Source organism: Homo sapiens, chromosome 1, assembly GCF_000001405.40.
Source record: "Homo sapiens chromosome 1, GRCh38.p14 Primary Assembly".
Classification (NCBI taxonomy): domain Eukaryota; kingdom Metazoa; phylum Chordata; class Mammalia; order Primates; family Hominidae; genus Homo; species Homo sapiens.
In genome coordinates, this window is record NC_000001.11 from 91,150,461 (window position 1) to 91,161,205 (window position 10,745).

The window sequence follows — 10,745 nt, forward strand, 5'->3', positions numbered from 1 at the left end:
TTGTAATTTTATTTGATTTTTGTATTTATTTAGTCTAGTTTAAGGTTTGTCTATTTTGTTTATCTTTCCTAAAAATGTTTACTTTCATTGGTTTTTAAAATTGTATTTCTAATCTATTTCACTTACTTCTCTTCTGACCTTTATTATTTCATTCCTTCTGCTAACTTTGGGCCTAGTTTGTTCTTCTTTTTCTGTTTCCTTGAGGTATAATGTTATGTTGTTTATTTGAGTTTTTTCTTGTTTTACAGTGTGGGTGTTTATCACTATAAACTTCCCTCTTAGAATTACTTTTGCTGCATTCCATACATTTTGGTATTTTGTGTTTCCATTTCCATTTGCTTCAAGATTATTTTTTATTTTCCTTTTAAGTTTTTGTTTGACTTAATTGTTAAGGAGCGTTTGTTTAATTTCCATATATTTGTGAATTTTCCAGTTTTTCTTCTCATATTTTCTTATTTCATACCATTGCGATCAGCAAAGATGCTTGACATGATTTCAGTCCTCTTAAACTTGATAAAACTTGTTTTGTGGCCTAACATATGATGTATCCTGGAGAATGTTTGTGTATTTGTTAACAATGTGTATTGTGCTGCTGTTTGATAGAATGTTCCATATGTCTTAGGTCCATTTGATGTCCACTGTTTCCTTATTGATTTTCTATCTGGATGATCTATCCATTGTGGAAAGTGGGATGTTGAAGTCCTCTCTTATTGTATTTCTGTCTGTTTTTCCCTTCAGTTCCACCATATCTGGCTAACTTTTAGAAACTTTGTGTAGAGGTGTGGTCTTACTATGTTGTCCACACTGGCCTCAAACTCCTGGCCTCAAACGATCCTCCTGCCTTGGCCTCTCAAAGTGCTGGGATTACAGGCATGAGCCACTGTACCTGGCCCAGATTATATTTCTTATAAAAGTTCTGTGATGTGGGTTTGATTATCTTCTTGTGGAAGAAGAAACTGAGGTTTACCAAGACCAATGTCTTGCCTAAGGTTTCAGAGCCCATCAACAACTGAGTTTAGAATATGGGCCTAAGTCTTCTGACTCTTGTCTTGAGTAAGCTTTCCATGACGCCAATTACCCTAATCTTCTGGGAGCACTAGGACCTCATTTTAATAGTTAAAATATGCTTATACTACCTCCTACCATGACAGTAGTTTCTAGTGAGCTAAAACATAAATCCATGGGTTTGCATTGTATTGTTCACAACAGCTTCTACAAACACTTTTAAATAGTCATACATATGCATACAATAGGTATTAGGTATTTAAGACTACAAATTATGCTTGGATTTGAGTTCTGTCATAATAGCTCCAAATTCAGAGGTCTGAAGCCGTGGGACACAGCCTTGCAATGTAGTGGCCATTGAGATGACTGTTGCTACAATGGTTTAGGGTACTTGTAGGCAATCATTTGATCATTGCTAGAGTCACAAAAAGAGGAACTGCCATTTCTTAGTGTAATGTATTATGTGACATGGGTGCTATGATTTTATTAAATTCTAGGTTTCTTAGAAAAGAAACTGTTGCATCCAAAAGCAAAAAATGGGTCACCATTTTTGGATGAAAACAACTAAAAGGGTACAAGGCCTATTTTAGCAGAAAGGCTCCATGTAAAATTGACTCTAAATAAATATCTGCCTGTAATCCCAGTACTTTGGGAGGCCAAGGTGGGTGGATCACCTGAGGTCAGGAGTTTGAGACCATCCTGGCCAACATGGTGAAACTCTGTCTCTACTAAAAATATAAAAATTAGCTGGGCATGGTGGTGGGTACCTGTAATCCCAGCTACTCGGGAGGCTGAGGCAGGAAAATTGCTCGAATCCGGTGGGCAGAGGTTGCAGTGAGCCGAGATCGTGCCACCGCACTCCAGCCTGGGTGACGGAGCGAGACTCTGTCTCAAAATAAATAAGAATAAATAAATATCTGGAAAAAAACGAATAAAGTTCATTTCAGGGCTGGAAAAGAGGCTGACACACTCCTTGGTTTTGCCTGTGCTCAAGTAGATGGAGGAATTCAAGTAGGGCACTCAGGAATGTTCAGTGCGCACCTCAGCTGCTGAGATAAGATGGAAAGTATGGCTGCAATGGGGATTCTCTTCATCCGTTTCATCTTCCTGATTTCCCTAGGCCCATCTTCAGGCTGAGAGTGATGACACTGACCTCCCCATTGAGAATATATGTGGAAAGAAGAAGCAACTACATTGATTAAAAGTAGCAATGGTTTAAGGAAACAAAGAGGCTGGAACTCTGCCTGCCACAGGGAAAGAAATGCTGGGAAGCCTGGTGGGAGCAGGTTAGAAACAGGCTTGCAGCCCCAGCCCAGATGCCTGCATTTAGGTGATGAGCAATATTCTTTGTGTGTTTTGTCAGTCCTGAGAGAAGCTTCTTTCCAAAAATAATTACTCTATATTTGTAGCAGGAAAACCTTTTATCTTCTGTTTAAATTCATATCTTCATCTGTGTTATGGAAGCCCTGCCCTCACTAAGCCTTTGACTTGGAGATGTTGGCTGTCCTCTCTGCCACAGTCAGCTCTTCTTCAGGACATTTTAATCAGTAGTGACTTTAGAAAGAGAAAGGGGGACTGGGATCCCATGATGAAAAATACTGAACAGAAACAGAGAGAAAAATCTCTGTGGTCACTAGTAGAAATCAATATGTAAGTGAATGGACCAGTTTTCTTGAGAAATGGGCATTTCTCTGTTCACCTGCCTGGGCTCCCCCAAAAGCAGAGCCTGAGACAAAGGATTATGTACAGATAGGTAACTTGAGATGTGGTTCCAGGGGGTCAGGGATGAGCAATGAAAGCCAATATAAGGATGTATTGTCGAGTTGGCCACAGCCATAGGCAACTAGAGCTCAACTCAGTGGAACTTTCTGCAGAGCCAGATGAGATGTGTTTCAGAATATCCATTGTGGAAATGGAAGAGTAAAACATCTATTTATCAGCTCTCATCTGCCACTGGTCAACAGTGGCCCCAGGAGGTTAACTCCCTATGTTTTGAGTTGTCCTGTAGAAATGTTGTGCCATGGTGTCCCATGGTGTGACATCAGAGAAGTCACAAAGCAGGAAGTGAGAGGATGGGAGACACAGGATGAGGCAAGGCACTGCCTGCTTACTTGTGCATGAGGCAAACTGAAGCCTGCACAGAACTGGCTGAGTTTTCCATGACTGGAGGAAGAGGTAGGGCTGAAGGGATTTGGAGTGGTACTAACGACATGTCAATAAACCAACCAATTGCAATGAAATATTCTTAAGATTCTAGATGACTCCTATGATCTCTTCGTCTCTCATTCATTGTAAGGGAGAAATAGGGTGACTTTGGCCTTCTTCAGTCCTAGGTTTGAATCCTGGCTCTATCATTTATGAGTGTTGTTCTCATAAGTAAGCGACTTAACTTCTTTGAGCCTTAGTTTACCTTGTAAAATTAAGACAGTATATCTATCTCATCCTGTTGTAGTGAGAATGACCTGAGATACTGTATGTTAAGTTCTTAGCACCTAGCCTGGTGCATGGCAAGGGCTGAAGTCATGTCAGCTTGTATTATTGTGATTTGACATCACAACAGCAGTAGTCATGGGGCATAAAGGAGCATAGAAAGGGGGCTATTAGGGACTAGGACTGGAGGGAGGATGAACCAGGTAGACTCCCAATAGGAATGTGAGGTGGGGATTGTGCCTCTGTTTAACAAGTCAGGATACAGCTTCTGGGATGGAACTGGCCAAAGTTTGATGAAGTATCAAGGCTTGCATTAAGGGTGCTGAGGTCTCAGAAGGGAAACTGGGATGCTACAGAGGAAATAGCAGCAGCTATGAGCAGTTACATATTCTGGGAATTAGAGGACTGCAGAAGGGTTCAAGGAAGTGCCCAGGGAGCCTGATGGGTGCAGAGAGTTTGATGAGGTATCAAGACTTCCATTAAGGGTGCTGAGGTCTCAGAAGGGAAACTGGAATGCTACAGAGGAAACAGCAGCAGTTATGAGCAGTTACATATTCTAGGAATTGGGGGACGGCAGAAGGGTTCAAGGAAGTGCCCAGACAGCCTGATGGGTGCAGAGATGCTTCCAGGCTGTCCCTAAGCCCATTCCCAGGCTTACAGCAGCCTGACTAACCTCATGCCAAGCATCGAGTCCCTTTGAGTTTACTGTTTCAGCCGTATACATGTTGTGATTCCTAGGCTCAGAATGCGGGAGGGCTAAGCCTACAAGTTGAGGGTATTGGTGCCATCAGTTAGGGTTGGGGGTGACAAATGACAGACTTGCCTGACTCTCAGCTTAGCTTCAGCTGAGCAGGAGGCCCCTGCCATAGAGCGACTGGCACATGACCCCTGACCCCAGCCCTGGTCTGACATATCCAGGCACTGGACCCTCAGATCATAGGTTAACTAGGCCTCCTTGTCTGGGCTGATGAGGTGACTGCCTTGTCATTAACACTTAATCCTTTGAGGGCCAGACCAAACTCTCAGGCAGAACAAGTAGCTCACTGGGCCAAGACAACATAAAAAACCATGTATCCCAAACCTTAACCCACAGTTTCGCTGTTCAAATCATTTTGGGGGGAAGAGCCATACTTTATTATGATGGGCCAGTCCTTTAATCTCACATATGTATGTGTTCACATGGTAAAAATGTAACCAAATTCATTCCTACAAACTCTCCATTTTAATATTTTTAATATTAACACCTTTCTTTTATGTTGTTCAAAGAATTCACTCAGATTCTCTAGGTTTTTGTGAAGAAGAATATGATTAAAATCAACACATTGAATTGATGTTTTTGATTGAAACAAATACGTCTGGAGCAAATTTAAATTAAACATGTGGTTTTACATGTAGTTGGTTAGGAGTAGCAATCAATAGGTTAGCATACCTTTATTTTCTTCAAAGAAAAAAAAATTCCAATTGAATGATGCTTTGAAAATAGCTAACTGGAAGCGTGAGGGACTTGTTTAGAAAGTTGAGGTGACAACTGAAAGTCAAGACTACACATGCTCATGTGTTTGCAAGGGGAAAAAAATCTCCAATTTAAAGAGATGTGGGTACTGCTGTTATTTCTTCAGATATAATACATAGGGATGGAAAAGATGGCTTTTCTTATGGAAACATTAGTTGTAAATTGAAGAAAAATGAGTATAAAAAGTGAGACTGTTTTTTGTTCTGAAGATTTTCCTCTTATCTCTTCATAGTTTTATTATGCAGAGATTTGATACTGACATCTTTAACTGCGTGCTTAAACACACTCATCTTTCCAGCAGCACACGGGGGCATAGGGATGGTTTGTCTTTAGGAAACAGAAGGCTCGCCTCTGCCCATGGGCTCCTCACCCTTGGTCTATTGCCATTTCTGGTGCGCCTCCCCATCTCTGAGGTCCTGTCCTCAACATCCTGTGTCCCATCCTCAGCTCTGTCCTCATGCAATCCCATGTGAACACCTCTCTTCCCTGTTCATGGAGCTGCACTGTCCTGGTCCCCTTTCTCATTTCCTGGCTACCTAGTCACCATCTTTTAAGATTAATCGCACAGTACAGAGTTGATGAGCAGTCTGAGTTCTCAAATGGTTTACATTTGGATCAAGGTGGAAAATCGCAATAATTGAATTGCTGCGATCAAATAAATTTTGCACCAACCTAATACAGAAACAGGCACTTATCCACCAGGTATCCTTCCAGCATTTTTAGCTCTTGAACACTATGATAAAAATCAGCAGAAAATGTTCTAAGCGACAATTCAAATAGCTGTCACAGAATCTACATAACTTTATTCCTTTGATTACATTTAACAAACAGTTATTGAGTATTTTCTATCTGCCAGATGCTGTCCAGGTTGGTAGAAATACTGAGATGAATAATTTATTTCTCTCCCACCTTGTTCCAGAAAGGATGTGAGGCAGCTTGTAGCAGAAACATATAAAATAAAACATTCAAATGCAGGTTTTTAAAACTCAGAGCAAGGGAAATATGAATTAAAATAGGTCAAGTCCAGAGAGAAAAGAGGACACAGATACACAGCACATGCAGGCCTTCCTAATTGTTATACCTGAGTTGGATATTTTACCCTAAGCACATTAGGGGGCCAGAGAAAAGGAAAACATGGTCAATACACATTCCCACTGTAGAAACAGAGAAATTATAGAGTTACTTACAGGAAAAAGTATGAATAAGACCTGGTTCCTAATGACAAGGAATTCAGAACTCAACAGGAAAGACAGATCTGTAGCAAACATCTGTAAAACAAAACGTATTATGAGGATCTGCATAAAGTGCTAAGGAAATAGGGGTACAGGAACAACTTATTTGGCTTATGAGAAAGAAAAGAGGCTACATGAACAATGCTTCAAAAGGAGGCAGCCAAGAAGGGGGAATGGCTCGGGAGAAAGAACTTGGTGGCTCTAGGTGAGTGACCCCAGCTGGAGTGAGCACAGAAATGGTTTCCTGCACTTGCTGATTCTGATTCAGAGGGACTGGCATTTTTTACAAGCACCCCAGGTGATGCTAATTCTGGTGCTCAAGAAACTTCGGGGAAAACTGTCATAGATTCCTGGATGTGTGGAGCAATGAACACCGAGGTTGGAAAAGCAGGCTGGGCCCATGTGGGATGGACTTCAAATGCCATGGTGAGAAACTTGCACTTTATGTCAGGGGGAGCCACTGGATGCTTTTAAGCCTGAGCAGGTGAATGACACTATCAGATTTCTGTGTGTTTTTTACTCTTCTTTTTCCTGATTACAAGAACAGATCGAGGATGAAAAATGGAAGGAAAGAGATTGAGGATATGGAACCACCTAGAAGAGTGTTGCGTGGTCCAAATCAAAGAGAATAAGGACGTGATTAGGACAGTGGTGGGGGACATGGAGCAAGGTGAACACTTTTTTGTAGTGAGCATGAACCTGTTATTTTATTATCAGTCACAGATTTACTTTCCAATATTGTTGTTCATGTCTCACCAGCTGGGACTCTACTTCAGTTTCTGCTATCTGGCATCTGGGCTACTCCAACTGGCAGGGGAGATGGTCCATGCCAAGCTGGCCTGGTCCCTGTGCGGGTGATGGAGCTGGGTGGAAGGTCTGGGAGTGATGCTTGCTCACTACAGTGTAAGGGAAGCAACTTACAGTGAACTCACATTGGAGGGTGTATTAGTCGGGGATCTCTTAGAGGGACAGAACTAATAGGATGTATATATATAAAGGGGAGTTTATTAAGTGTTAACTTACATGATCACAAGGTCCCATTATAGGCTGTCTGCAAGTTTGAGTCCCAAAACTGAAGAACTTGTAGTCTGATGTTCGAGGGCAGGACGCATCCAGCATGGGAGAAAAATATAGGTGGGGGGGCTACGCTAGTCTCTCTTTTCACATTTTTCTGCCTGCTTTGTACTGGAAGCTGATTAGATTGTGCCCACCAGATTAAGGGTGGGTCTGCCTTTCCCAGCCCACTGACTCAAATGTTAATCTCTTTTGGCAACACCCTCACAGACACACCCAGGATCAATACTTTGTATCCTTCAATCAAGTTGACAGTATTAACCATCACAGAGGATAACACAGAATATATGTATTTGTTTGTTGTACAAAAGTAGCCAATGATGTCCAGTTCAGTGGATTCTGGGAACACAACCTTTCCTCTCAAAAACAGCAGAAAATACCAACACCTTTCACTGTCGTATATAAAAATCAGTGAGCCTGGAGCCGGACGGTGTCCCATGCAAAGACCAATTGTTTTGAGTCTCCTCTCATGCTGGTAGGGTGTTTGTAAGCAACAGGCCTGTGGTCTAGGACATTATTTCATTTATGGTAGGGGGCTACCGACCACAGTCCCACGACAAGGTCAAGTGAAAGTCATTTGGCCAGGATCTGCTGTCTAATCCTGTGGTAGGCAGAATAATGGCCCTGTCCCCCCAAAGATTCCGATGTCTGAATCCTCAGAATCTGTGAATATGTTACCTTAAGTGGCAAAAGAGATGTATTAGTTTGCTATGGATACTGTAGCAAACTACCACAAACTAGGTGGCTTAAATGACAGAAATTTACTGTGGCACCATTCTAGAGGCTAGAAGTAAGAAATCAAGGCATCCCCAGGATTGGTTCCTCCTGAGGGCTGTGAATAAAAGATCTGTTCCAGGCCTCTTTCCTTGCCTTGGAGATGGCCGTCTTCAACCTTTATCTCTTCATCTCATCCTTCCTCTTTGCATGGGTGCGGGTCCAAGTTTCCCCCCCTTTTTTTTTTGAGTTGGGGTCTCGCTCTGTCGCCCAGGCTGGAGTGCAGTGGCGCCATCTTGGCTTACTGAAAGCTCTGCCTCCCAGTTCACGCCATTCTCCTGCCTCAGCCTCCAGAGTAGCTGGGACTACAGGTGCCCGCCACCACGCCCGGCTAATTTTTTGTATTTTTAGTAGAGATGGGGTTTCACCGTGTTAGCCAGGATGGTCTCGATCTCCTGACTTCGTGATCCGCCCACCTCGGCCTCCCAAAGTGCTGGGATTACAGGCGCAAGCCACTGTGCCCAGCCAAAGTTTCCCCTTTTTATAAGGATGCCTTATTTTGGATTAGGGCTTACCGTAAGATCTCAACATAACTAATTACAATGGCAGCAACCCTATTTCCAAGTACGGTCCCATTCTGGGGGTTAGGACACCGATATATGAATTGTTGGGGGACATGATTCAACTCCTAACAAGGGACTTTGCAGAAGATTAAAGTTATAGCTTTGAGATGGGAAAATTATTCTGAATTATCCTGGGGGGCCCAATTTAGTTACTTGAGTCCTTAAAAGTGGAGAATCTTCTTTGGGAGGCCGAGGCGGGCGGATCACGAGGTCAGGAGATCGAGACCATCCCGGCTAAAACGGTGAAACCCCGTCTCTACTAAAAATACGAAAAATTAGCCGGGCGTAGTGGCGGGCGCCTGTAGTCCCAGCTACTTGGGAGGCTGAGGCAGGAGAATGGCGTGAACCCGGGAGGCGGAGCTTGCAGTGAGCCGAGATCCCGCCACTGCACTCCAGCCTGGGCGACAGAGCGAGACTCCGTCTCAAAAAAAAAAAAAAAAAAAAAAAAAAGTGGAGAATCTTTCCCATCTGCAGTCAGGGAGAGATTGGTGACGATGGAAGGGTCAGAGAAATGCAACATTGCCAGCTTTGAAGATGGAGGAAGGTGCCATGAGCCAAGAAATGATGGTCGCCTCAGAGGCTAGAAAAGGCAAGGAAGCAGGTTCTCCCCTGAAGCCTCCAGAAAGGAATCAGACGCCGTGTTCCTAGTTCAGTGGCCTGTGTTGGATGTCTGAACTACAGTTGTAAGATCATACATTTGTGTTATTTTAAGCCACTACGTTTGTAGTAATTTGTTATAACAGCCATAGAAAACTACTAATACAACCTCCCCCAACCACAGCTCCTAAGTTTGCCATGTGATCTCTCATCCCCCGATAAATAATGCTTCTATGCTGGGAGTAAGTCACTACAGAAGTCCCACCCCTGCTGTTACTGGCGGTGAATCCTTATGGGTCTGCAACAACCTCAATTCTTGCCTCCACAGGAGAAAGAATTGGACCAAGGGGCATGAGGCAGAAGGTGAGACCGAGGAAAGTATTAGAGCAGGAGTGAAAGCTTATTAAAAAGCTTTAGAGGCTGGGCGCTACTAGTAGCTCACACCTGTAGTCCCAGCACGTTGGGAGGCCAAGGCGGGTGGTGCATCACCTGAGGTCGGGAGGTCAAGACCAGCCTGAACAACATGGAGAAAACCCATCTCTACTAAAAATACAAAATTAGACAGGCCTGGTGGCACAGGCCTCTAATTCCAGCTACTCAGGAGGCTGAGGCAGGAGAATCTCTTGAACCCAGGAGGCGGAGGTTGCGGTGAGCCAAGATCGTGCCATCGCACTCCAGCCTGGCAACAAGAGCGAAACTCTGTCTCAAAACAAAACAAAACAAAAAGCTTTAGAACAGGAAGGAAAGGAAGAAAAGTATACTTGGAAGAGGGCCAACCGGGCAACTTGAAAGACAAGTGCTCAATTTGACCTTTTGACTTGGGATTTTATATGCTGGCATGCTTCTGGAGTCTTGCCTTCCTTCTCCCCTGACTTCCTTTGGGGTGGGATGTCCGCATGCGCAGTTGTCTGCCAAAGCCTGGGAGGGGATCATGCGCAGTGTGTTTACTGGAGTTGTGCGTATGCTCAACTTGAGGTGTTTTTGTTTTTTTTTTTCCCTTACCAGCTGAATGTCCCTAAGATCATATACCAGTTAAACTCCACCATTTTGCCTCTTAATGCGCACACTTGCGTTCACTCACGCAACTCCTGAGATCTTATCAGGAAGCTGCTGATTATTTTCAGGTTTTTTTCTCTCTATAGGGAGACTGCCTTGCCCTGGCGCCGGCTGCCACCAACTGTTATTTTAGAGAGACAGCGTAACAACTGCCTGACCACCACCTGATGGTCGCCTGGAATTCCTGGTGGGGTAGTGAGGCCCTCTCTTGCCCTGTTCATGTCTGATTCGCTACCTACTGTAACACTGCCACAGCCACTCATCAAAACCAAGTTGTATGAAGTGGCAGATTTCTCCTAGGGTGTCTGGCCAGCCATGACCTGCTCCTTTGGTCACCTCCCGAAGTCCAAGATGAGTTTCAAGAGCCACATGTCTATGAGACCCTCCTACCTGGACTTAGCTGACTGCAGCAGGAGGGACATGTGATCCAAGCTGGAGCACACAGAATCTCTCTCCTGGGATGTGGAGCTGAGAGACACTGAGATCAGGAGATGGGAGCTG